Source organism: Homo sapiens, chromosome 21, assembly GCF_000001405.40.
Source record: "Homo sapiens chromosome 21, GRCh38.p14 Primary Assembly".
Lineage (NCBI taxonomy): Eukaryota > Metazoa > Chordata > Mammalia > Primates > Hominidae > Homo > Homo sapiens.
In genome coordinates, this window is record NC_000021.9 from 10,711,312 (window position 1) to 10,738,444 (window position 27,133).

At 43.2% G+C, this 27,133-nt stretch overlaps 15 annotated features.

Annotated features, from left to right (window-relative positions):
* Positions 1,658–2,187: an enhancer, noted in NCBI's record as "OCT4-NANOG hESC enhancer chr21:10798959-10799488 (GRCh37/hg19 assembly coordinates)". NCBI's record gives its function as "activates a minimal SCP1, AML or CMV promoter by ChIP-STARR-seq in naive H9 embryonic stem cells {active_cell/tissue: H9 hESC(naive)}" and the evidence as "EXISTENCE:reporter gene assay evidence [ECO:0000049][PMID:30033119]".
* Positions 4,371–5,165: an enhancer, noted in NCBI's record as "OCT4-NANOG-H3K27ac hESC enhancer chr21:10795981-10796775 (GRCh37/hg19 assembly coordinates)". NCBI's record gives its function as "activates a minimal SCP1, AML or CMV promoter by ChIP-STARR-seq in naive H9 embryonic stem cells {active_cell/tissue: H9 hESC(naive)}" and the evidence as "EXISTENCE:reporter gene assay evidence [ECO:0000049][PMID:30033119]".
* Positions 5,166–5,960: an enhancer, noted in NCBI's record as "OCT4-NANOG-H3K27ac hESC enhancer chr21:10795186-10795980 (GRCh37/hg19 assembly coordinates)". NCBI's record gives its function as "activates a minimal SCP1, AML or CMV promoter by ChIP-STARR-seq in naive H9 embryonic stem cells {active_cell/tissue: H9 hESC(naive)}" and the evidence as "EXISTENCE:reporter gene assay evidence [ECO:0000049][PMID:30033119]".
* Positions 6,287–6,928: an enhancer, noted in NCBI's record as "OCT4-NANOG hESC enhancer chr21:10794218-10794859 (GRCh37/hg19 assembly coordinates)". NCBI's record gives its function as "activates a minimal SCP1, AML or CMV promoter by ChIP-STARR-seq in primed H9 embryonic stem cells {active_cell/tissue: H9 hESC(primed)}" and the evidence as "EXISTENCE:reporter gene assay evidence [ECO:0000049][PMID:30033119]".
* Positions 7,065–7,584: an enhancer, noted in NCBI's record as "OCT4-NANOG hESC enhancer chr21:10793562-10794081 (GRCh37/hg19 assembly coordinates)". NCBI's record gives its function as "activates a minimal SCP1, AML or CMV promoter by ChIP-STARR-seq in naive and primed H9 embryonic stem cells {active_cell/tissue: H9 hESC(naive and primed)}" and the evidence as "EXISTENCE:reporter gene assay evidence [ECO:0000049][PMID:30033119]".
* Positions 7,065–8,105: a biological region, named in NCBI's record as "OCT4-NANOG hESC enhancers GRCh37_chr21:10793041-10793561 and GRCh37_chr21:10793562-10794081".
* Positions 7,383–7,677: a silencer, noted in NCBI's record as "tiled region #9778; K562 Repressive non-DNase unmatched - State 24:Quies". NCBI's record gives its function as "represses a minimal TATA promoter and a strong SV40 promoter by Sharpr-MPRA in K562 cells {active_cell/tissue: K562}" and the evidence as "EXISTENCE:reporter gene assay evidence [ECO:0000049][PMID:27701403]".
* Positions 7,585–8,105: an enhancer, noted in NCBI's record as "OCT4-NANOG hESC enhancer chr21:10793041-10793561 (GRCh37/hg19 assembly coordinates)". NCBI's record gives its function as "activates a minimal SCP1, AML or CMV promoter by ChIP-STARR-seq in naive H9 embryonic stem cells {active_cell/tissue: H9 hESC(naive)}" and the evidence as "EXISTENCE:reporter gene assay evidence [ECO:0000049][PMID:30033119]".
* Positions 8,148–9,089: an enhancer, noted in NCBI's record as "OCT4-NANOG hESC enhancer chr21:10792057-10792998 (GRCh37/hg19 assembly coordinates)". NCBI's record gives its function as "activates a minimal SCP1, AML or CMV promoter by ChIP-STARR-seq in naive H9 embryonic stem cells {active_cell/tissue: H9 hESC(naive)}" and the evidence as "EXISTENCE:reporter gene assay evidence [ECO:0000049][PMID:30033119]".
* Positions 9,090–10,033: an enhancer, noted in NCBI's record as "OCT4-NANOG hESC enhancer chr21:10791113-10792056 (GRCh37/hg19 assembly coordinates)". NCBI's record gives its function as "activates a minimal SCP1, AML or CMV promoter by ChIP-STARR-seq in naive H9 embryonic stem cells {active_cell/tissue: H9 hESC(naive)}" and the evidence as "EXISTENCE:reporter gene assay evidence [ECO:0000049][PMID:30033119]".
* Positions 10,080–10,664: an enhancer, noted in NCBI's record as "OCT4-NANOG hESC enhancer chr21:10790482-10791066 (GRCh37/hg19 assembly coordinates)". NCBI's record gives its function as "activates a minimal SCP1, AML or CMV promoter by ChIP-STARR-seq in primed H9 embryonic stem cells {active_cell/tissue: H9 hESC(primed)}" and the evidence as "EXISTENCE:reporter gene assay evidence [ECO:0000049][PMID:30033119]".
* Positions 10,675–11,518: an enhancer, noted in NCBI's record as "OCT4-NANOG hESC enhancer chr21:10789628-10790471 (GRCh37/hg19 assembly coordinates)". NCBI's record gives its function as "activates a minimal SCP1, AML or CMV promoter by ChIP-STARR-seq in naive H9 embryonic stem cells {active_cell/tissue: H9 hESC(naive)}" and the evidence as "EXISTENCE:reporter gene assay evidence [ECO:0000049][PMID:30033119]".
* Positions 11,595–12,453: an enhancer, noted in NCBI's record as "OCT4-NANOG hESC enhancer chr21:10788693-10789551 (GRCh37/hg19 assembly coordinates)". NCBI's record gives its function as "activates a minimal SCP1, AML or CMV promoter by ChIP-STARR-seq in naive H9 embryonic stem cells {active_cell/tissue: H9 hESC(naive)}" and the evidence as "EXISTENCE:reporter gene assay evidence [ECO:0000049][PMID:30033119]".
* Positions 14,530–15,381: an enhancer, noted in NCBI's record as "OCT4-NANOG hESC enhancer chr21:10785765-10786616 (GRCh37/hg19 assembly coordinates)". NCBI's record gives its function as "activates a minimal SCP1, AML or CMV promoter by ChIP-STARR-seq in naive H9 embryonic stem cells {active_cell/tissue: H9 hESC(naive)}" and the evidence as "EXISTENCE:reporter gene assay evidence [ECO:0000049][PMID:30033119]".
* Positions 20,483–20,777: a silencer, noted in NCBI's record as "tiled region #7824; HepG2 Repressive non-DNase unmatched - State 24:Quies". NCBI's record gives its function as "represses a minimal TATA promoter and a strong SV40 promoter by Sharpr-MPRA in HepG2 cells {active_cell/tissue: HepG2}" and the evidence as "EXISTENCE:reporter gene assay evidence [ECO:0000049][PMID:27701403]".

Consider the following 27,133-nt stretch of genomic DNA (forward strand, 5'->3'; position numbering starts at 1 on the left):
CCATTCCATTCCTATCCATTCCATTCCCTTCCATTCCACTCCACTCCACTCCATTCCATTCCATTCCATTCCATTCTTCTCCACTCCAATTCACTCCACTCCACTTCACGCCTCTCCATTTCATTCCATTCCATTCCATTCCACTGCACTCGCCTGCATTCCATTCCATTCCATTCCACTCCATGCCATGCCATTCCATTCCATTCCACTTCATTCCCTTACTTTCCATTCCACTCCATTCTAATCCACTCCTCTCCACTCCACTCCACTCCATTCGACTGTACTATCTTCCATTCCATTCCATTGCATTCCACTCCACTACATTCCACTCCACTCCACACTGTTCAATTACAACCTTCCCTTTCCGTTCCTTTTTATTACATTCCACTCCAATCCACTCCACTCCACTCCATTCACTTCCATTCCTCCCTATTCAAATCCACTCCATTCCACTGCACTCCACTCCACTTCACCACATTCTATTCGATTCCATTTGATGCCATTCCATTCCATTCCACTGGATTCCGTTCCATTCCAGTCGATTCCATTCCATTTGATTCCGGTCCATTCGAGTCCATTCCATTAGAGTCCATTACATTCCAGTCCATTCTGTTCGAGTCCATTCCATTCCAGTCCATTCCACTCGAGTCCATTCCATTCGAGTCTATTCCATTCCTTTCCATTATATTGCATTCCCCTCCATTCCACTGCACTCCAGTCCACTCCACTCCTTTCCATTCCATTACATTCCACTCCAATCAACTCCTGTCCAATCCACTCCATTCCATTCCATTGCATTTCACTACACTCTATTCCATTCCACTCCATTCCACTCCACTCCACTCCATTCAATTCCATTCCACCGCATTCCATTCCACTCCATTGCACTCCACTCCACTCCCCTTCACCTCAATCCATTCCATGCCATTCGATTCCATTCCATTCGACACCATTGCATTCGATTTCATTGCTTTCTAATCCTTTCCATTCGATACCATGTATTCGATTTCTTTGCTCTTGAATCCATTCCTTTTGATTCCATTCCACTCGTTTCCATTCCATTCAAGTTCATTCCTTTCAACTCTATTCCATTGGAGTCCATTCCATTCCAATCCTTTCCATTGGAGTCCATTCCATTCGAATCCATTCCATTCCAGTCCATTCCATTCCATTCCATTCCATTTGAGTCCATTCAATTCCATTCCATTCCATTTCATTCGAATCCATTCCATTGGAGTCCATTCCATTCTTCTCCATTGCATTCCAGTCGTTTCCATTCCATTCCATTCCATTCCACTCCACTCCACTCAACTCCATTCCACTCCATTCAATTGCAATCCAGTCCAATCCACTCCACTCCATTCCATTCAAATTCATTCCTTCCCATTAAATTCCATTCCACTCCATTCAACTCCACTGCACTCCACTCCATTCAATTCCCTTTCACCACATTCAATTCCACTCCATTCCACTCCATTGCACTCCATTCCACTCCACTTCACTTCACTGCAGTCCATTCGATTCCATTCGATGCCATTTGATTCCATTCCTTTCGATTCCATTCCATTCAATTCCATTCCATTCGATTTCATTCCATTCGATTCTATTCCATTTGAGTCCATTCCTTTCGAGTCTATTCCATTTGATTCCAATGCATTCCAGTCCATTCCATTTGAGTCCATTCAATTCTATTCGAGTCCATTCCATTCCATTCCATTCCATTCCATTCCATTCCATTCCACTCCACTCCATTCCACTTGACTTTGTTCCATTCCATTCCACTACATTCCACTCTATTGCATTCCACTCCACTACAATCAATTCCATTCCATTGCAATCCATTTCATTCCATTCCTTTCCACTCCACTCCACTGCAGTACACTCGACTCCACTCCTCACCACTCCATTCCATTCCATTCCATTCCTTTCCATTCCATTTTACTCTGCTCCTATCCATTCCACTCCTTTCTACTCTATTCTCTCCCATTCCATTCCATTCCACTCCATGCCATTCCATTCCTTTCCATTCCATTCCACTCCATTACACTCCAATCCACTCCACTGCAATCCACTCCCCTCCACTCCATTCCATTCCATTCCATTCTATTCCATTTCATTCCTTTGCATTCCATTCCACTCCAATCCACTCCACTTCACTGTGTTCAATTCCATTCCTACCCATTCCACTCCATTTCACTCTATTCCACTCCACTCCACTCCACTTCACAGCATTTTATGCGATTCCATTCAATGCCATTTGATTCCATACCATTCGATTCCAGTGCATTTGATTCCATTCCGTTCAATTCCACTATATTTGATTCCATACCATTTGATTCCATTCCCTTACATTCCATTCCATTCGTGTCCATTCCATTCCAGTCCATTCCATTCGAGTCCACTCAATTTGAGTCCATTCCATTCCATTCCATGCCATTAATTTCCAGTCCATTCTATTCATTTCCACTCAATTTTACTCCACTCCTTTTCATTCCATTCCTGTCTGTTCCATTCCATTCCATTCCACTCCATTAAACTGCACTCCACTCTACTCCACTCCACTGCACTCCACTCTACTCTTGTCAATTCCATTCTTTCCCAATACATTCCATTCCACTCCATTCCACTGACCACCACTCCACTCCATTCAATTCCATTCCAATCCATTCCATTCCACTCCATTCTGCTCCACTCCTCTCCACTTCATTGCATTCCATTTGACTCGATTCGATGCCATTTGATTCCATTCCATTCATTTCCACTTCACTCGATTTCATTACGTTACATTCCATTCGATTCAATTCCATTCCATTCAATTCCATTCCATTTGAGGCCATTCGATTCAAGTCCATTCCATTCGAGTCCATTCCTTGCTATTCCATTTCCGTCCTGTAAATTCTATTTGATTCCATTCCATTCCTTTCCATTCCACTCCTCTCCTTTCCATTCCACTCCCCTCCATTCTACTCTTTTCCATTCCATTCCACTCTATTCCATTCCATTCCACTCAACTCCACTCCACTCCAATCCACAACACTCAATTCCATTCCATTCCATTGCATACCACTCCACTCCACTCCTCTCAACTCCACTCCACTCCATTGAATTCCATTCCTTCCCATTCCATTCCACTCCACTCCACTCCATTCCACTCCACTTCATTCCACTCTATTCCACTCCATTCCATTCCATTACATTCTTTCCACTCCATTCCACTCCACTACTTTCAATTACATTTTTTCCCATTCCATTGCATTCCACTCCATTACACTCCACTCCACTCCACTCCAATCAATTCCAATCCATTCCACTCCATTCCATTCCTCTCCATTCCGTTCCATTCCCTTCCACTTCATTCCACTCCATTCCACTCCACTCCAATACAGTGCATTCCATTCCATTCCATTCCATTTCCTTCAATTCAATTCCACTCCATTTCATTCCATACCTTTCAATTCCATTTCACTATATTCTTCTCCACTCCACTCCATTCCATTCTGTTCCTTTGCATTCCACTTACCTGGTTTCCATTCCCATCCATTCAATTCCATTCCACCCCATTCCTTGCCACTACTTTCCACTCCACTCCACTTGTTTCCATTTGATTCCATTGGAAGCCATTCCATGCGATGCCTCTTTCCAGTTGATTCCATTTGATGCCATTCGATGCCATTCCATTTGATTCCATTTCACTCAATTCAATTCCATATGATTCCATTTCATAAGAGTCTATTCCATTCGAGGACATTCCATTCGAGTGCATTCCTTTTTAGTCCATTACATTCCTGTCCATAACATTCGATTCCATTTCATTCCATTCCATTCCATTCCACTCCACTCCAATCCATTCTATTCCATTCCATTGCATTCCACCGCATTCCACTCCACTCCGTTCAATTCCATTCAATCCAATTCAATTTCATTTCACTCCATTCCACTCCACTCCACTAAATTCTATTCCATTCCACTCCACTCCACTCCATTTCACTTCATTGCATTCCACTCCACTCCACTCCAATCCATTCCACTGCACTCCACTCCACATCTCTCCACTCCACTCCATTCCATTCAATTCCACTATTTCCACCCCATTCCATTCCACTCCACTCCATTCCATTCCATTCCAATCCACTGGATTCCATTCTTTGCATATTACTCCATTCCACTCCACTCAACTCAACTCGGTTCAATTCTATTCCTTACCATTCCATTCTATTCAAATTCATTTGACACCACTCCGCTCTGCTGCATTCAATTCCATTCCACTCCATTCCACTCGACTCCACTCCACTTCATCGCATTCCACTGTATTCTCTTTGATGCTATTCTATTCCGTTGCATTCGACTCCATTCCATTCTATTCCATTCCATTCTCATCCATTCCATGCGAGTCCCTTCTATTTGATTCCATACAATTCGAGTCCATTACATGCGAGTTCATTCCTTTCGAGTTCATTCCATTCAAATCCATTCCATCCAAGTCCATTATATTCCAGTCCATTCCATTCCAGTCCACTCCCTTCAAGTGCATTCCATCGAGTCCATTCCATTCGAGCCCATTCCTTTCCAGACCATTTCATTCCAGTCCATTACATTCGAATCCATTCCATTCCATTCCTTTCAAATCCATTCCATTCCATTCTATTCCATTGCATACTACTCCACTCCACACAACTCCACTCTACTCCATTCCATTGCATTGCTTTCCACTCCTTTTCATTCCACTCCAATCCGTTCAATTCCACTCCTTCCAATTCCATTCCATTCCAACCCATTCCAATGCACTCCACTCCACTCAATTCCATTCTACCTCATTCCATTCCACTGCGTTTCAATCCACTCCACTCCACTTCACCGCATTCCATTTGATTCCATTTGATGCCATTCGATTCCCTTCCATTCGATTCCATACAATTCAATTCTATTCCACTCAATTCCATTCAATTGCATTCCATTCCATTCCCTTCCATTCAAGTCCATTCCATTCCAGTCCCTTCCATTCCATTCCATTCCCTTCCATTCCATTCCATTCCACTCCATTCCACTCCACTCCATACCACTCTGGTGCATTCCATTAAATTCGACTCAATTCCACACCATTTAATTCAATTCCATTCCATTCCAGTCCATTCCTCTCCACTACACTACACTTTATTCACCTCCACTCCACTCCATTCCATTCAATTCCTTTGCATTCCACTCCATTCCACTCCACTCCATTCAATTCCAGTCCTCATTCCATTCCATTCCAATCGATTCCACTCCACCCCATTCCATTCCATTCCACTCCAGTCCATTCCATTCCACTTCATTCCATTCCACTCCACTCCACTCCACTCAGTTCAATTCTATTCCTTCCAATTCAATTGCATTCCATTCCATTCCATTCCATTCCATTCCATTCCATTCCATTCCATTCCATTCCACTCAATTCCATTCCATTCAATTCCCTTCCACTCCACTCCAGTCCACTCCACTTCATCGCATTCCATTCAATTCCATTCGATGCCATTTGATTCCATTCCCTTTGATTCCATTCCATTATAGTCCATTCAATTCGATTCCCTTCCATTCGAGTTCATTGCATTCGAGTCCATTCCACTCCATTCCATTGTATTCCATTCCAATCATTTCCATTCCCTTCCAGTACATTCCAGTCGAGTCCATTTTATTAGAGTCCATTTCATTCCATTCCATTCCAGTCCATTCCACTCAATTCCATTCCTTTCCATTCCATTCCATTCCATTTTACTCCATTGCAATCCACTCCACTCCACTACCTTCCATTCCTTTCCATTGGATACTACTCTCCACTCCACTCCATCCAATTAAATTTCTTCCCATTCCGTTCCATTCCACTCTATTCCACTACACTTCACTCCATTCAATTCCCTTCTGCGCCATACCATTCCACTCCGGTCCACTAAACTCCAATTCATCGCATTCCTTCCTATTCCGTTTGATGCTATTCGATTCCTTTCCTTTCTATTCCATTCCATTTGATTCGATTCCATTCAATTCCTTTCCATTCAATTTCATTACTTTGGAGAACTTCCATTTTTGTCCATCCCAATCGAGTGCATTCCATTCCAGTCCGTTCCATTCCAGTAAATTCCATTTCAGTCCATTCCATTTGAGTCCATTCCATTCCATTCCAATCCATTCCAATCTCTTCCATTCCATTCCACTCCACTCCACTCCACTCCACTCCAATTTATTCCATTACATTGCATTCCACTCCACTCCACTCCAATCCATTCCTTTCCTTTCCATTGCATTCCACTCCACTCCACTCCACTCTGTTCAATATCATTCCTTTTCATTGCATTCCATTCCACTCCACTCCACTCCACTGCACTCCACTCCAATAAATTTCTTTCAACCCCATTCAACTCTGTTCCAGTCCACTCCACCCCACTCCCCTTCACCATTTACCATTCGAATCCAGTCGATGCCATGCTGTTCCATTCTGTTGGTTTTAATTCCATTCATTTCCATTCCATTTGATCCCATTCCATTCGATTCCACTCCATTCCCTTTGAGTCCATTCCATTCCAGTTCATTTCATTCGATTCCATTCCATCTGAGTCATTCCATTCCATTCCATTCCATTCCATTCCATTCCATTCCATTCCACTTCACCCCACTCCATTCCATCCACTCCACTTCACTCCACTCCATTCTATTCCACTCCAATGCATTCCACTTCATTTCACTCTACTCCATTCCATTCTATTCTATTCTATTCCACCACCACTACATTCCATTACACTGCATTCGATTCCACTGCATTTCTTTCCACTCCATTCTATTCCATTCACATGCATTACACTTCACTTCAATCCACTCCACTCCCCTCCACTCGACTCCACTCCATTCCATACCATTCCATTGCATTCCAATCCACTGCACTCCACTGCATTTAATTCCATTCCTTCCCATTCCATTCCACTCCACTTCAGTCCATTTAATTCCATTCCATCACTTTCCATTCCAATCCACTGCACTCCAATCCACTACACTCCACTTCACCACATTCCATTCAATGCCATTCGATTCCATTCTATTCCATTCCATTCCATTCCATTCCATCCACTACCATTCCATCCGATTCCATTCTGTTTGATTACACTCCATTCAATTACATTCCATTCGATTCCATTCTGTTCGAGTCCATTCCATTCAAGTGCATTCTATTCGACTCCATTCCATTCGAGGACATCCCATTCCAGTTCATTCCATTCAAGTCCATCCAATTCGTGTCCATTCCATTCCATTCCATTCTACTCCATTCCATTCCACTCCAATGCATTCCATTAAACTCCACACCACTCCACTCCATTCCATTCCATTCTGCTCCATTCAACTCCATTCTTCTCCACTCCACTCAACTCCACACCACTCCACTCCACTACATTCCCCTCCACTCCACTCCCCTCCATTCCATTCCATTCCACTCTATTCCATTCTACTCCACTCCACTCCACTCTATTCCACGCCCCTCCTTTCCATTCCATTCGATTCCACTCCATTCCACTCCACTCCACTCCACTTGAGTCATTTCCATCCCACTCCACTCCATTCCATTACACTCCACTCCACGACTCTATACTCGACTCCATTCCACTCCACTCCACTCCACTCCATTATATTCCAGTCCTGGGCATTCCAATACACTCCTCTCAACTGTACTCCACTACAATCCATTGCATTCAATTGCACTCCAATGCACTTCACTCCACTCCACTCCATTGAATTCCATTCCATCCATTCCATTCCATTCCACTCCACTCCATTCCGTTCAATTCCATTCCTTCCCATTCCATTGCATTCCATTCCATTATATTCCATTCCATTCCACTCAATTCCATTTCATTCAATTCCATTCCACTCCACTCGACTCCTCTCCACTCAATTCCACTCCACGCTACTCCACTTCACTCCATTCCACGCCAGTCCACTCTGCTCTACTCCACTCTACCCCATTCTATTCCATTTCATTGCCTTCAACTCCACTCCACTGCACTCCACTGCACTCCGTTCAATTCCATTCCTTCCCATTCCATTCCATCCCACTCCATTCCACTACACTCCATTCCAGTATATTCAATTCCATTCTAACCCATTCCATCACACTCCATTCCACAACTCTCCACTCCACTTCATCACATTCCATTTGCTTCCATTCGAGGCCATTCGATTCCATTCCATTCGATTACATTTGATGCCTTTCAATTCCATTCCATTCCAACTCAATTCCATTCGATTCCATACCTTTCAATTCCATCCCATTCGATTCGATTCCATTCCATTCCATTCAAATCCATTTGAGTCCAATCAATTCAAGTCCATTCCATTCCACTCTCTTCCATTCCATTCCATTCTATTCCATTCCATTCTATTCCACTCCACTCCATTCTACTGCACTCCACTCCACTCCTCTCCACTCCACTGCATTGCTTTCCATCACATTGCATTTGATTCAATTGCTCTCCATTCCATTCCATTCCATTCCATTCCATTCCATTCCATTCCATTCCATTTCATTCCATTCCTCTCCATTCCTCACCACTGCACTACAGTTTACTCCTCTCCACTCCACTCCACTACATTCCATTCCTTTGCATTCCACTCCACTCCACTACATTCAATTCCATTCATTCCCATTCCATTCCATTCCACTCCATTCGACTGCACTGCAATCCACTCGATTCAATTGCATTCCAAAAAATTTCATTCCAATCCATTCCACTCCATTCCACTCCAATCTTTTCCATTCCATTCCACTCGACACCATTCCATTCCACTCCACTCAACTCCACTCCATTCTTCTCCACTCCACTCCACTACAATCCACTACACTCCAATCCAATCCATGTCCTTCCATTCCATTCCATTGCATTCCACTCCACTACATTCAATTCAATTCCATTCCACCCCATTCCATTCCACTACATTCCACTCCACTCCATTCAATTCAATTCATTCCCATTCCATTCCATTCCATTCCATGACATTGCAGCCACTCTATGCCACTTCACTGCATTCCATTTAATTCCATTAGATTCCATTCGTTCCCATTCCTTTCAAATCCATTCCATTAATTTCCATTCCTTTCTATTCCATTCCATTCGATTACATTCCACTTAAGTCCATTCTATTCGTGTCCATTTCATTCTAGTCCATTTTATTCCATTCCTTTCTACTCCACTCCACTACAGTTTACTCCACTCCACTCCACTCCATTCCATTCCTTTGCATTCCACTCCAATCCACTCCACTCCACTCCAATCAATTCCATTCATTCCCATTCCATTCCATACCACTCCATTCCACCCCACTCCAATCCACTCCATTCAATTGCATTCCACCAAATTCCATTCCACTCCATTCCACTCCACTCCACTTCTCCACATTCCATTCAATTCCATTCGATGCCATTCGATTCCATTCCTTTCGAATCCATTCTATTCAATTAATTCAATTTGATTCCATTTCATTTGATTCTATTCCATTCCAGTCCATTCCATTCGTGTCCATTCCATACCATTCCATTCCATTCCACTCCACACCACCCCACCCCACTCCACTCCACTCCACACCATTCAATTCCATTCCATTGCATTCCATTCCACTCCTCTCCACTCCACTACATTAAGTTCCATTCCATTCCATTCCATTACAATACACTCCATTCCACTCCCCTCCACTACATTCCAGTCCTTTCCACTCCACTCCATTCCATTTCATTCAATTCCACTCCACTCCTCTCCACTCCACCTCACTCCATTCCACTCCACTGCACTACACACCACTCCACTCCATTCCATTCCATTCTATAGCATTCAACTCCTCTCCACTCCAATCAGTTAAATTCCTCTCCTGTCAACCACATTCCATTCCCCTCCATTCCATTCCATTCCACTCACTCCATTCCATTCCAATCCACTCCATTCAATTCCTTTCCTATCCCTTACATTCCATTCCATTTAATTTCTTTGCACTCCATTCCACTCCATTCCACTCCATTTCTTTACATTCCATTTTATTACATTCCACTTGACACCATTCAATTCCACTCCCCTACACTCCACTTCACTCCTGTACAGTCCACTACACTCCAATCCAATCCATGCCATTCCAATCCATTCCATTGCGTTCCTCTCCCATCCATTCAATTCAATTCCATTCCACCCGATTCCATTCCACTCCATTCCAATCCATTACACAACACTCCATTCAATTCCATTCCTTCCCACTCTATTCCATTCCACTTCATTCCACTCCACTCCACTCCACGCCACTTCACTGTATTCCATTGAATTGCATTCGATTCCCTTCGATTCCATTCCTTTCAAATGATTCCATTCAATTCCATTCGATTCAATTCCATTCCATTCGATTCTATTCCACTCAAGTCCATTCCATTCGTGTCCATTCCATTCCAGTCCATTCTATTCCATTCTGTTCCACTCCACTTCCCTGCACTCCTCTCCATTCAATTCCATTCCATTGAATTCCTCTCCACTCCACTCCACTGCGTTTAATTTTTTTCCATTCCATTCCATTCCACTCAATTCTACTCCCGTTTACTCATTCCATTCCATTCCACTCCACCACATTCTATTTCATTCCATTCCACTCCACTCCACTACAATCCATTCCACTCCACTCCACTTTACTCCTTTCCACTCGACTCCATTCCATTATATTCCATAGCATTCCACTCCACTCCACACCACTCCGTTAAATTCCAATCCTGTCAACCCTATTCCATTCCCCTCAATTCCATTCCATTCCACTCATCTCCATTCCATTCCATTCCATTCGAATCCACTCCATTCCATTCCACTCCACTCCATTCCATTCCATTCCATAAGATTCCACTCCACTCCACTCCATTCCATTCCATTCAATTCCTTTCCACTGCATTCCACTCCATTCCACTGCATTCCATTCCATTCCATTTCATTTCATACCACTCGACACCATTCCATTCCACTCCACTCCACTCCACTGCACTCCATTCCACTCTACTCCACTACAATCCACTGCACTCCAATCCAATCCACACCATTCCATTCCATTCCATTTCATTCCTCTCCACTCCACTCAGTTCAATTCCATTCCACCTCATTCCATTCCACTCCATTCCACTGCATTCCACTCCACTCCCTTCAATTCCATTCCTTCCCATTCCTTTCCATTCCACTGCATTCCACTCCATTCTACGCCACTTTACCGCATTCCATTGAATTCCATTCGATTCCCTTCTGTTCTTTTCGTTTCACATCAATTCCATTCAATTCCATTCCATTCAATTTCATTCCTTTCGATTCCATTCCACTCAAGTCCATTCTATTCGTGTCCATTCCATTCCAGTCCATTCTACTCGATTCCATTCCACTCCCCTCCACTACACTCCAGTCTTCTCCATTCAATTCCATTCCATTGCCTTCCACTCCACTCCGTTCAATTCCATACCATTCCATTCCACTCCATTCCACTCCCATCCACTCCATTCCATTCCATTCCACCCACCATATTCCAATTCATCCCATTCCACTCCACTCCACCATATTCCATTTCATCCCATTCCACTCCACTCCATTCCACTCCATTCCACTCCACTCCAATTCACTGCTTTCCACTCCACTCCATTCCATTACATTCCATAGCATTCCACTCCACTCCCCTACACTCCACTCCACTCTGTTAAATTCCATTCCTTTCCACTCCATTCCATTCCCCTCCAATACTTTCCATTCCACTACGTTACATTCCATTCCACTCCTTTCCATTCCATCCCATTCCAATCCATTCCATTCCATTCCATTCCATTGCATTCCATTCCATTTATTTCAACTCCATTCCATTCCATTCCACTACATTCCATTCCATTCTATTCCATTACATTCCACTAGACTCCATTCCTTTCCACTCCACTCCACTCCACTCCACTCCACTCCCTTCCACTCCACTCCACTCTACTACACTCAACTCCAATCCATGCTGTTCCCTTCCATTCCATTGCATTCTGCTCCACTCCACTCCACTCCATTCAATTCCATTGCACACCATTCCATTCCAATGCACTGCACTCCAATTAACCACATTCCATTCCATTCTGTTTGATGCCATTTGATTCCTTTCCATTTGATTCCATTTCATTCAATTCCGTTCCATTCTATTCCATTCCATTTGATTCCATTGCATTCGAGTCCATTCCATTCGAGTCCATTCCATTGATGTCCGTTCCATTCTAGTCCATTCCTTTCCTGTGCATTCCATTCCACTCCACTCTACTCCACTCCACTCCACTACACTACACTCCATTCCACTACTCTCCACTCCACTCTACTCCACTCAACTCCAATCCATGCTGGTCCATTCCATTCCATTGCATTCTGCTCCACTCCACTCCACTCCAATCAATTCCATTCCACCTCATTCCATTCCACTGCATTCCAATTCATTGCACTCCAATTAACCACATTCCATTCCCTTCCACTCGTTGCCTTCCGATTCCTTTCCATTTGATTCCATTTTATTCAATTCAGTGCCATTTGATTCCACTCCGTTTGATTACATTGCATTCGAGTCCATACCATTCGCGTCCATTCCATTCAATTCCGTTCCATTCGAGTCCTTTCCATTCCAGTCCATTCCATTCCATTCCTTTGCACTCCTTACCATTCCTTTGCATTCCACTCCTCTCCGCTCCACTCAACTCCACTCAGTTCAATTCCATTCCTTCCCATTCCATTCCATCCCACTCTATTGCACTCCAGTGCACTCCACTGCATTCCTTTCCATTCCACCCCATTCCAATCCACTCAATTACACTCCTCTCCACTCCACTTCACTGCATAACACTGGATTCCATTCGACGCCTTTCCATATTATTTCATTTGATTCCATTCCATTCGATTCCATTCAGTACGATTCCTTTCCATTCTACTCCATTACATTCGAGTTCATTCCTTTTGAGTCCATTCCATTCCAGTCCATTCCATTCGGGTCCATTCCATTCCAGTCCATTCCCTTGCAGTCCATTCCGTTTGAGTTCATTCCATTCCATTCCATTCCATTCCATTCCATTCCATTCTATTTAATTCCACTCCAATCCACTCCACTCCACTCCATTCCATTCCATTTCATTCTATTGCATTCCAATCCACTCCTCTCCACTCAAGTCTGTTCAATTCCATTCCTTCCCCTCCATTCAATTCCACTCCATTCCACTCCACTCTGCCCCACTCAATTCAATTCCATTCCACCCCATTCCATTCCACTGCATTTCACTCCACTCCACTTCACCGCATTCCATTCGATTCCATTTGATGCCATTCGATTCCATTGCATTCAATTCCATTCCATACGATTCCATTCCATTCCAGTCAAATCCATTCGAGTCCATTCCATTTTGCATCCCTTCCATTCCAGTCAATTCCATTGGTATCCATTCAATTCGATTCCATTCCATTTGATTCCATTCCTTTCGAATCCATTCCATTCAATTCCATTCTGCTCGAATCCATTCCATTCAATTCCATTCCATTCGAGTCCATTACACTCCACTCCATTCCATTCCAGTCCATTAAATTCCAGTCCAATCCATTCTAATTCATTCCATTCCATAACCTTTCCATTCCATTCCATTACATTCAATTCCATTCCATTCGTGTCCAGTCCATTCTAGTCCATTCCATACCAGTCCATTCCACTCGAATCCATTCCATTCGTTTCCATTCCATTTGATTTCTTTCCATTCGAATCCATTCCATTCCAGTCGATTCCATTACAGTCCATTCCATTCCATTGGAATCCATTCCATTCCTTTCCATTCCATTCCATTGCATTCCAATTCCCTACACTCCATTCCATTCCATTCCATTCCATTCCATTCCATTCCATTCCATTTAACTGCTGTCCACTCCACTCTACTCCACTGCATTCCATTCCATTCCATTCCATTTAACTGCAGTCCACTCCACTCTACTCCACTGCATTCCATTCCATTCCATTCCATTCGATTCAATTGCACTCCATTCCTTTCCATTCCATACCATTCCACTCCATTCCTCTCCACTCCACTAGAATTTACTCCACTCCCCTACACTCCATTCCATTCCATTCTTTTGCATTCCGCTCCACTCGCCTCCACTCCATTCAATTACATTCATTCCCATTCCATTCCTTTCCTGTCCATTCAAAACCACTCCACTCCATTCAATTGCATTCCGCCAAATTCCATTACACTCAATTCCACTCCACTCCACTTCACCACATTCCATTCGATTCCATTTGATCCCATTCAATTCCGTTCCTTTCAAATCCATTCCATTCTATTAATTCCATCCCATTCCCTTCCATTTGATTCCATTCCATTCAAATCCATTCCATTAGATTCCATTCCATTCCATTCCATTCCATTGCATTCCATTCGACTCCACTCCACTCCATTCAATTCCATTCCATTGCATTCCACTCCACTCCACTTCACTCCGTTAAATTCCATTCCATTCCATTCCATTACATTGCACTCCATTACACTCTCCTCTACTCTATTCCAATCGATTCCACTCAACTCCATTCCATTTAATGTCATTCAACTCCACTCCTCTCCACTCTTCTCCACTCCATTCCACTCCAGTCCTCTCCACTCCTTTCCACTCCAATCCATTCCACTCCATTCCACTCCACTACAGTCCACTACCCTCCAATCCAATCCATGCCATTCCATTCCATTCCATTGCTTTCCACTCCACTCCTCTCCACTCCATTCAATACCATTCTATCCCATTCCATTCCATTGCATTTCACTCCACTCCACTCAACTTCACCGCATTCCATTCGATTCCATTCAATGCCATTCGATTCCATTCCATTCTATTCCATTGAATCCGAGTCCATTCCATTCCAGTCCAATCCATTCTAGTCCATTCCATTCACGTCCATTCCATTCCATTCCATTCCTTTCGTGTCCATTTCATTTGATTCCATTTCATTTAATTCAATTCCATTTGATTCCATTCCATTCGATTACATTACATTCGATTACATTCCATTCTATTCCCTTGTATTTGATTACATCCCATTTGATTCCATACCATTCGATTAAGTTCCATTCAAAACCATTCCATTCCATTCCACTCCATTCCATTCCATTAAACTCCGCTCCACTAAAATGCAATCTACTCCACTCCTCTCCATTCCATTGCACTCCACTCCAAGCCCCTCCACTTCATTCCATTCCATTCCATTGCCCTCCACTCCATTCAATTCCATTCCTTCCCATTCAATTCCATTCCATTCCACTCCATTCCGCTCCACTCCACTCCACTGCTTTTATTTCCATTCCATTGTATTCCATTCCGCTCCATTCCATTCCACTCCACACAACTCCACTCCAATCCATTCCATTCCATTCCGTTGCATTCCACTCCACTCCATTCCACTCCATTCCATTCTCTTCCTTCCGATTCCATTCCCTCCCGTTCCGTTCCATTCCACTCCATTCCTTTCCACTGCACTCCACTCCATTCAATACAATTCCACCCCATTCCATTCCACTCCATCCCAGTCCACTCCACTCCACTTCACCACATTCCATTCGATTATATTAAATGCCATTCGATTACATTCCTTTTGATTCCATTCCATTCAATTCCTTTCTATTCGGGTCCATTGCATTCGAGTCCATTCCGTTCAAGTCCATTGTATTCGTGTCCATTCCATTCCATTCCATTCCATTCCATTCCATTCCATTCCATTCAATTCCACTCCATAACACTCCCTGCACTCCTCTGCACTCCACTTTTCTGCACTCCATTCCATTCCATTCCTTTCCAACCCATTCCATTCCAATCCACTCCATTCCATTCTATTCCACTCCACTCCATTAAATTCCATTCCATTCCATTATATTCCATTCCATTCCATTCCATTCCCTTCCATTCCAATCCACTGCATTCCATTCCATTCCACTCGACTCCATTCCATTCCACTCCACTCCACTCCAGTCCACTCCATTCCACTCCATTCCATTACTTTGCATTGCATTCCATTGCATTTTATTCTGCTCTACTCCATTCCACTCCATTCCATTCCAATCTGATCCACTCCACTCCACTCAACTCAAGTCCACTCCAATCCATTCCATTCCATTCCATTGCATTCCACTCCACTCCACTCTGTTCACTTCCTTTCCTTCCCATTACATTCCTTTCCACTACATTCAACTCCACTCCACTCCCTTCAGTTCCACTGAACACCATTCCATTCCACTCTACTCCACTTCATTTGACCATATTCCATTCGATTTCATTCCATGCCATTTGATTACTTTCCATTCGATTCCATTCCACTCGATTCCATTCCTTTAGATTCCATTACATTCAATTCCATTGCGTTTGATTCCAGTCCGTTAGATTCCATTCCATTCGATTCCATTCCATTGGATGCTTTTCCATTCGATTCCAATCTCTAGGTTTCCATTCAATTCGAGACCATTACATTCGAGTCCATTCCTTTTGAGTCCATTCCTTTCGAGTCCACTCAATTGGATTACGTGCCATTCGAGTCCATTCGATTAGACTCCATTCCATTCCAGTCTATTCCATTTCAATCCATTCCATGCCATTCTTTTCCATTCCATTCCATTCCACTCGGTTCCACCCCACTCCACTCCACTCCATTCCTTTCCATTCCATTCCAGTGCATTCGTCTCCACCCCACTCCACTCATCTCTACTCCAATCAATTCCATTCCTTTCCATTCCATTCCGTTCCACTCCATTCCACTCCACTTCACTTCACTCCATTAAATTCCTTTCCACCCCATTCCATTCCACTCCCTTCCACTCCAATTAACTCCAGTTCACTAAGTCCATTTGATTCCATTCGATGCCTTTTGATTACATTGCGTTAGATTCCATTCCACTCTTTTTCATTGCGTTCGATTCCATTCCATTCGAGTCCATTCCTTTCCAGCCCATTCCATTCCACTCCATTACATCACACTTCGTTTCATCCAAGCCCATTCTATTCGAGTCCATTCCATTTTATTCCATTCTAGTGCATTCCAATCCAGTCCACTCCTCTTCATTCCATTCCATTCCACTCCATTCCATTACACTCCATTCCACTCCACTACACTCCATTCCATAGCATTCCATTCCCTTCCATTCCTTTCGGTTCCATTCCATTCCACTCCACTTCATTCCATTCCATTCCATTCCATTGCAGTCCATTCCACTCCATTCCACTCCACTCCATTCCGTTCACTTCCACGCCTTCCCATTCCATTACATTCTACTCCACTCCACTAGAATCCAAGCTACTACATTCAGTTGCGTTCCACATGATTCCATTCCACTCAATTCCACTCCACTCCACTCCACCTCACCACATTCTATTTGGTCCCATTCGATGCCATTCGTGGCCATTCGATTCTATTACATTTGATTCCATTCCATTCGATTCCATTCCATTCGATTCCTTTCCATTCGATTCTATTCCATCCGATTCCACTCCATTTGAGTCCATTCCATTCCAATACATTCCATTCGAGTCCATTCCATTCGAGTCCATTCAATTAATGTACACTATATTCCAGTCCATTCCATTTGAGTCTTTTCCATTTGAGTCCATGCCATTCCATTCCATTCCACTCCAAACCACTCCATTCCACTCCACTACACTCAACTCCATTCAACTCCACTCCACTCCAGTCCACTACACTCCACTCCATTCCCTTCCTTTCCATTCCATTCCATTCAATTCCATTCCATTCCTTTCCACTCCATTCCATTCCATTCCATTCCACTCGACTGCATTCCATTCCACTCCACTTCACTCCACTCCTTTCCACTCCTTTCCCCTCCACTACAATCCACTACACTGCAGTCCAATTGACGCCATTCCAGTACATTCCATTGCATTCCACTCCACTCCGCTCCACTCCATTCAATTCCATTCCACCACATTCCATTCCACTGCATTTCCCTCCACTCCACTCCACTCCACTTCATCATATTCCATTCGATTCCATTCAATGCCATTCAATTCCATTCGTTTCTATTGCATTCCATCCGAGTCCATTCCATTCCAGTCCGATCCATTCGAGTGCATTACTTTTGCGTCCATTCCAATCCAGTATATTCCATTCGAATCCATTCCATTCGATTCCGTTCCGTTCGACTCCATTGCATTTGAATCTATTCCATTCGATTCTATTCCGTTCGAAACCATTCCATTCTATTCCATTACATTCCAGTCCATTCTATCCCAATCCATTAAATTCCAGTCCCTTCCATTTGAATCCATGCCATTCCATTCCATTCAATTCCATTCTATTCGTGTGCCATCCATTTGAGTCCATTCCATTCCAGTCCATTCCATTCGAATCCATTCAATTCGATTCCATTCCGTTCGTTTCCTTTCCATTTGATTCCATTCCATTAGAGTCCATTCCATTCCAGTCCATTAAATTCCAGTCCATTCCATTCGAATCCATTCCATTCAATTACATTACATTCCACTCCCCTACACTCCCCTCTACTACATTCCATTCCATTCCATTTCATCGCATTCCTCTCCTTTCCACTCCAGTCCGTTCAATTCCATTCCTTCCCATTCCATTCCATTTCAATCCATTCCACTCCACTCCACTCAGTTCCATTCCACTGCCTTTCACTCCACTCCACTCCACTTCATCGCATTCCATTCGATTCCATTTGATGCCTTTCGACTCCATTCCGTTCCATTCCATACCGTTTGATTCCATTCCATTCGATTCATTTCGATTTGACTCCATTCCATTCCATTCCATTCAATTCCATTCCACTCCATTTCATTCCATTCCATTCCACTCCATTCTACTCCACTCCACTAAACTGCACTCCACTGCACTGCATTGCATTCCATTCCATTGCATTCGATTCAATTGCACTCCATTCCTTTCTATTCCATTCCATTCCATTCCACTGCATTCCAATCCACTCCACTCCACTCCATTCAATTTCATTCCACCAAATTACATTCCACTCCATTCCACTCCACTCCACTTTGCTGCATTCCATTCGATTCCAATAGATCCCATTCGATTCCATTCATATCCATTCCTTTCCATTCCATTCCACTCTACTCCACTCCACTCGACCTCATTCAATTCCATTCCATTGCATTCCACTCCACTCCACTCCACTTCAACACGTTCAATTAAATTCCATTCCCCTCCACTCCTTTCAAATCCTTTCCACTGCCCTCCATTCTATTTCATGTCATTCCACTCCACTCCTCTCTACTCCACTCCACTCCATTCCACTCCAGTCCACTCCAATCCTCTCCACTCCACTCCATTCCATTCCATTCCATAGCATTCCTCTCAACTCCACTCCACTACACTCCCTTAAATTCCATTCGTTTCCACCTCATTCCATTCTATGCCATTCCTTTCCTCTCCAATCCATTCCATTCCACTCCATTCCATTCCATCCCACTCGACTGCATTCCATTCCACTCCCCTCCCCTCCATTCCTCTCCATTCCACTCCAATACACTCCACTACACTCCAATTCAATCCACACCATTCCATTCCATTCCATTGCTTTCCACTCCACTCCACTCCATTCAATTCCATTACACCCCATTCCATTCCACTCCGTTCCACTCCACTCCACCACATTCCATTCGATTCAATTCGATGCCATTTCATTCCATTCGATTTGATTCCATTTCATTCAATTCAATTCCATTTCATTCCGTTCCATTCAATTGCGTTACATTCGATTCCATTCTATGCGATTCCATTCCATTTGATTCCTTCCCGTTCTTTTCCAAACCATTCAATTTAGTTCCATTCGAAACCATTCCATTCCATTCCACTCCATTCCATTCCATTAAACTCCACTCCACTCCAACCTACTCCACTCCACTCCAATCCCCTGCAATTCATTCCATTCCATTCCATTGCACTCCACTCCACTCCACTCCATTCAATTCCATTCCTTCCCATTCCTTTCCATTCCACTCCATTCCACTCCACTCCACTCCAGTGCTTTCCATTCCATTCCATTTTATTCCATGCCACTCCATTCCATTCCACTCCACTCCACTCCAATCCATTCCATTCCATTGCATTCCAATCCACTCCACTCCATTCCATTCCCTTCCTTCTGATTCCATTCCTTCCCATTCCACTCCATTCCACCCCATTCCACTCCACTGCACTCCACTTTATTCAATACAATTCCACACCATTCCATTCCTCTCCATTCGAGTCTACTCCACTCCACTTCACCACATTCTATTCCTATATATTAGATACCATTTGATTCCATTCCTTTTGATTCCATTTAATTCAATTCCTTTCTATTCGAGTCCATTGCATTCGAGTCCATTCCATTCAAGTCCATTCCATTCGGGTCCATTCCCTTCCGGTCCGTTCCATAGTATTCCATTCCATTCCACTCCACTCCACTCCATTCAATTCCACTCCACTCCACTTTTCTACACTCCTGTCCATTCCGTTCCATTCCATTCCTTTCCAACCCATTCCATTCCACTCCATTCCATTCTATTCTATTCCAATCCACTCCATTCCATTCCATTCTATTCCACTCCACTCCATTCCATTCCATTCCATTCCATTCCATTCCATTCCCCTCCATTCCATTCCAATCCACTCCATTCCATTCCACTCTACTCCATTCCATTCCACTCCCCTCCAGTCAACTCCAATCCCCTCCATTCCTTTCCACTGCATTGCATTCCATTGCAATTTATCCACTCCACTCCATTCCACTTCATTCCATTCCATTCCACTTCTTTCCATTCAACTCTACTCCACTCCACTCAACTCCAGTCCACTACACTCCATTCCATTCCATTGCGTTCCACTCCACTCCATTCTGTTCAATTCCATTCCTTCCCATTTAATTCCAATCCACTGCCTTCTACTCCACTCCTCTCCGTTCAATTCCATTGAACACCATTCCATTCCACTCCATTCCACTCCATTCCACTCCACTTCACCGCATTCCGTTTGATTCCATTCGGTGCCATTTTATTATATTCCATTCGATTATATTCCACTCGATTCCATTCCGTTACATTCCATTCCATTAGATTCCATTCCATTTGATTCCAATCCGTTAGATTCCATTCCATTCGATTTCATTCCATTTGATGCCTTTCAATTCGATTCCTATCCATACATTTCCATGCAATTCGTGACTATTACGTTCGATTCCATTCCATTTGAGTCCATTCCTTTCGAGTCCTCTCAATTCGAGTACGTGCCATTCGAGTCCATTCCACTTGATTCCATTCCATTCCAGTACATTCCATTCCAATCCTTTCAATGCTACAGCTTTCCATTCCATTTCATTCCAATCCTTTCCACTCTACTCCACTCCACTCCATTCCTTTCCATTCCATTCTACTGCATTCGTCTCCAATCCACTCTACTCAACTCTACTCCAATCAATTCCATTCCTTCCCCTTCCATTCCATTCCACTCCATTCCACTCCACTCCAATTCACTCCATTAAATTCCTTTCCACCCCATTCCATTGCACTCTTTTCCACTCCAATTAACTCGACTAAGTCCATTTGATTCCATTAGATGTCAATCGATTATATTGCATTCAATTCCATTCCATTCAATTTCATTCCGTTCGATTCTATTTCATTTGAATCCATTCCATTCGATCCCTTTCCATTCAAGCCCATTCCATTCCAGTCCATTCCATCCCACTCCGTTTCAACCAAGTCCATTCTATTCGAGTCCATTCCATTTTATTCCTTTCTATTCCATTGCATTCCATTCCACTCCACATGACTCCATTCCGTTCCACTCCATTCCACTCCACTACACTCCATTCCATACCATTCCATTCGCTTCCATTCCATTCCGTTCCATTCCACTCCACTCAACTCCACTCCACTTCACTCCACTCCACTCCTCTCTGCTCTGCTCCACTCCACTCCATTCCACTCCATTCCATTCCATTGCATTCCATTCCACTCCATTCCACTCCACTCCACTCCGTTCAATTCCCTTCTTCCCCATTCCATTCCATTCCACTCCATTCCACTAGAATCCAAGCTACTCCATTCAGTTTTGTTCCAACCCATTCCATTCCACTCAATTCCATTCCACTCCACTCCAGCTCACCGCACTCTGTTCGATCCCATTCAATGCCATTTGTTGCCATTCTATTCCATTGCATTTGATTCCATTCCATTCCATTCCATTCCATTCCATTCCATTCCATTCCATTCCATAATTCCATTTCATTCCATTACATTCCTTTCCATCCGATTCCATTCCTTCTGATTCCACTCCATTTGATTTCATTCCATTCCACTCCATTCCATTCGAGTCCATTCAATTCATATATATTCCCTTCCAGTCCATTCCATTTGAGTCCATTCCTTTGGAGTCCACTGAATTCGAGTACTTGCCATTCAAGTCCATTCCACTTGACTCCATTCCATTCCAGGCCATTCCAATCCAATCCATTACATGTCCCTGCTTTCCATTCCATTCCATTCCATTTTGTTCCACTTCACTCCACTCCATTCCATTCCTTTCTGTTCCATTCCACTGCATTCCTCTCCACTCCACTCAAATCTACTCCTGTCCATTCCATTCTGTTCCACTCCAATGCACTCCACTCCACTTCACTCCATTACATCCCTTTCCACGCCTTTCCATTCCAATCCCTTTAACTCCCATTCACTAAGTCCATTCAATTCCTTTCAATGCCATTTGATTACATTGCATTCAATTCCATTCCATTTGATTTCATTCCTTTTGGTTCCATTCCATTCGAATCCCTTCCATTCGAGCCCATTTCATTCAAGCCCATTCCATTCCATCCCACTCCGTTTCCTTCAAGTTCATTCCATTCCATTCCATTCCATTGTATTCCATTCTATTACATTGCATTCCATTTCACTCCGCTACACTCCATTCCTTACCATTCCATTCCCTTCCATTCCATTCCCTTCCATTCCCTTCCATTCCACTCCACTCATCTCCATTCCACTCCACTCCGCTCCACTCCATTCCATTCCATTGCATTCCTTTCTACTCCATTCCACTCCACTCCACTCCTTTCAATACCATTCCTTCCCATTCTATTCCATTCCACTCTATTCCACTACATTCCAAGCTACTCCATTCAGTTCCGTTCGAACCCATTCCATTCCACTCAATTCCACTCCACTCTGCCTCACCGCATTCTATTCGTTCCCATTTGATGCCATTCTTTGCCATTTGATTCCATTGCATTCGATGCCATTCCATTCGATTCCTTTTCATTTGATTCCATTCCATCCGATTCCACTCCATTTGAGTCTATTACATTCCAGACCATTCCAGTCGAGTCCATTCCATTCCAGTCCATTCCATTCGAGTCCATTCAATTCCAGTCCATTCCATTCCAGTTCATTCCATTCCATTCCATTCCATTCCACTTCACACCATTCCATTCCACTCCACTCCACTTCATTCAATTCAACTCCACTCCAGTGTAGTCCACTGCACTCCACTTCATTCCATTCCTTTCCATTGCATTGCATTCCACTCCTCTCCAATCCTCTCCACTCCATTCAATTCCATTTCTTCCCATTCCATTCCATTCCACTCCATGCCAATCCACTCCACTCCAATCCATTCAATTCCATTCCACCCCATTCCATTCCACTGTATTCCACTCCACTCCAGTTGACTTCACTGCATTCCATTCTATTCCATTCAATGCCATTGGATTTGATTCCATTCAATTACATTCCAATCAATTCCATTCCATTCGATTCCTTTCCATTGCATTCCATTGCATTCCATTGCATTCCATTCCATTCCATTCGTGTCCATTCCATTCGAATCCATTCTGTTCTATTCCACTCTATTCCGTTCCATTCCATTCTACTCCGTTCCATTCCATTCGATTCCAATCCATTTGAGTCCATTCCATTCGATTCTATTCCATTCCAGTCCATTCCCCTCCAGTCCATTCCATTCAAGTCCATTCCATTTCATTCCATTCCATTGCACTCCACTCCACTCCACTCCTGTCCATCCCAATACACTCCACTTCACTAGACTCCACTTCACTCAATTCCATTCCATTGCATTCCACTCCACTCCACTCCTTTCAATTCCAATCATTCCTATTCCTTTCCATTCCACTTCATTACCCTCAACTCGACTCCACTCCATTCAATTCCATTCCTCCACATTCCATTCCACTCCATTTCAACCCACTTTACTCCACTTCACCGCATTCCTTTCAATTCCATTTGATGCCATTCGATTCCATTACATTCGATACCATACCGTTTGTTTCCATTCCATTCCATTTCTTTCCATTCCATTCAATACCATTCCATTCAATTCCTTTCCATTCGATTCCATTCCATTCGATGCCATTCCATTCAATTCCATTCCATTTGATTCCATCCCATTCGGTTCCATTCCATTTGATTCCATTCCATTCGTTTCCATTCCATTCAAGTCCATTCCAATTTATTGCATTCCATTCCATTCCATTCCACTCCATTACATTCTATTACTTTGCATTCCACTCTGCTCCACTCCACTACACTCCACTTTGTTCAATTCCATTCTGTCCCATTCCATTGAATTCCATTCCGTTCCATTCCTTTCCATTCCATTCCATTCCTTTCTACTCCACTCCATTCCACGACATTCCACTCCATTCCACTCCATTGCATTCATTTACATTACACACCACTCCACTGCATTCCGCTACTTTCCACTCCACTCCAATCCACTCCACACCGTTCAATTCCATTCCCTCCCATTCCATTCAATTCCCTTCCATTCTACACCAGTCCACTACAATCCATTCAAATCCATTCCACCCCACTGCATTCCCATCCTTTCCACTCCACTGCACTTCACTTCACCGAATTCCATTCGATTCCATTTGATTTGATTCAATTCCATTCTATTACATTCTATTCGACTCCATTCCATTCCATTCCATTCCATTCCACTCCACTAAATTCCATTCCATTCCTTTCCTTTCCACTCAATTCCATTCCATTCCATTGCATTCCACTCTACTCCTCGGCACTCCACTCCACTCCACTCCATTCAATTCCATTCTATTGCTTTCCACTCCACTCCACTACGTTCAATTCCATTCCTTCTCATTCCATACCATTCAACTCCATTCCACTCCACTCCACTCCACTGTATTCAATTCCATTCCACACATTCCATTCCTCTCCTTTCCAATCCACTCCACTCCAATTCACCAAATTCCATTTGATTTCATTCCATTCCATTCTATTCCATTCCATTCTATTCCATTCCATTCCATTCAATTCGATTCCATTACATTCTATTCCATTCCACTTTATTCCATTCCATTTGAGTACATTCCATTCTATTCCATTCCATGCCTTTCCGTTGCACTCCACTCCACTCCACTCCACTCCATTCCACTCCATTCCACTCCACTCTCCTCCATTCCATTCCACTCCATTGCATTTAACTCCAGTCCAGTCCACTCCACTCGATTCAATTTCGTTACTTCCCATTCCTTTCCATTCCACTCTATTCCACTCTACTCCACTACATTCAATTACATTACCCGCATTCCATTCAACTCCATTCCACTCCACTGCACTCTACTATACCACATTCCATTCAATTCCATTTGATGTCATTCGATTCCATTCCGATTGATTCCATTTCATCCGATTCCATTGCATTCTATTTCATTGCATTCTATTCCACTCTGTTCGATTCCATTCCGTTCGAGTCCATTCCATTCCAGTCCATTCCATTCGTGTCCATTCCATTCCAGTCCAGTCCATTCCATTCCAGTCCATTCCATTCGTGTCCATTCCATTCCAGTCCATTCTATTCCAGTCCATTCCATTCAAGTCCCTTCCATTCCATTCGTGTCCATTCCTTTACTATCCATTCCATTCCATTGCAATACATTCCACTCCACTCCACTCCACTCCACTCCATTCAGTTCCTATCCTTCCCATTCCATTACATTCCACTCCATTCCACTCCACTCCACACCACCACATTCAATTCCATTCCACCAAATTCCCTTCAACTCCATTCCACTCCCCTCCTCTCCACTTTACCATATTCCTTTTGATTTCATTTGATGACATTCGATTCCATTCAATTCGATTCCATTCCATTCGATTCTATTCCATTCAATCACTTTCGATTTGATTCCTTTCCATTCCATTCCTTTTCATTACATCACATTAAATTTTATTCACTTCCATATGATTCCATTCCATTCTATTTGATTCGATTCCATTCCATTACATTATGTTTGATTCCATTCCATTCAATTCCATTCCATTCGAGTCCATTCCATTCATGTCTGTTCCATTCCAGTCCATTCTATTCGAGTCCACTCCATCCCACTTCATTCCATTAGAGTCCATACCTTTCCATTCCATTGCATTCTATTCCATTCCACTCCACTCCACTCCTTTCCACTCTACTCCACTCCATTCCATTCCATTCCACTCCATTCCATTCCACTTCACTCCACACCATCCTAACCCACTCCAGACCATTCCGTTCCTATCTTTTCCATTCCATTTTACTCAATTGCATTGCATTCCATTCCATTCCATTCCATTGCATTCCATTCCACTCCACTCTACTCCAGTCCCCTCCATTCAATACCATTCCTTCCCATTCCATTTCATTCCACTCCATTCCACTCCACTCCTCTCCATTACATTCAATTCCATTCCACCCTATTCTATTCCACTCCATTCCACTTCACTCCTCTCCAATTCACCGCATTCCATTCGATTCCATTCGATGCCATTTCATTCCATTCCATTCAATTCCATTCCATGCGATTCCATTCACTACTATTCCATTTGATCTCATTCCATTCAAAGCCATTCCATTCCATTCGATTCCATTCCATTCCATTATATTTGATTCCATTCCATTAGCGTCCATTTTATTTGAGTGCATTCCATTTAAGTCCTTTCCATTCCAGTCCATTCTATACCAGTTCATTTCATATGAGTCCATTTTATTCAATTCCATTCTATTCCATTCCACTCCCCTCCACACCTCTCCTCTCCACTCCACT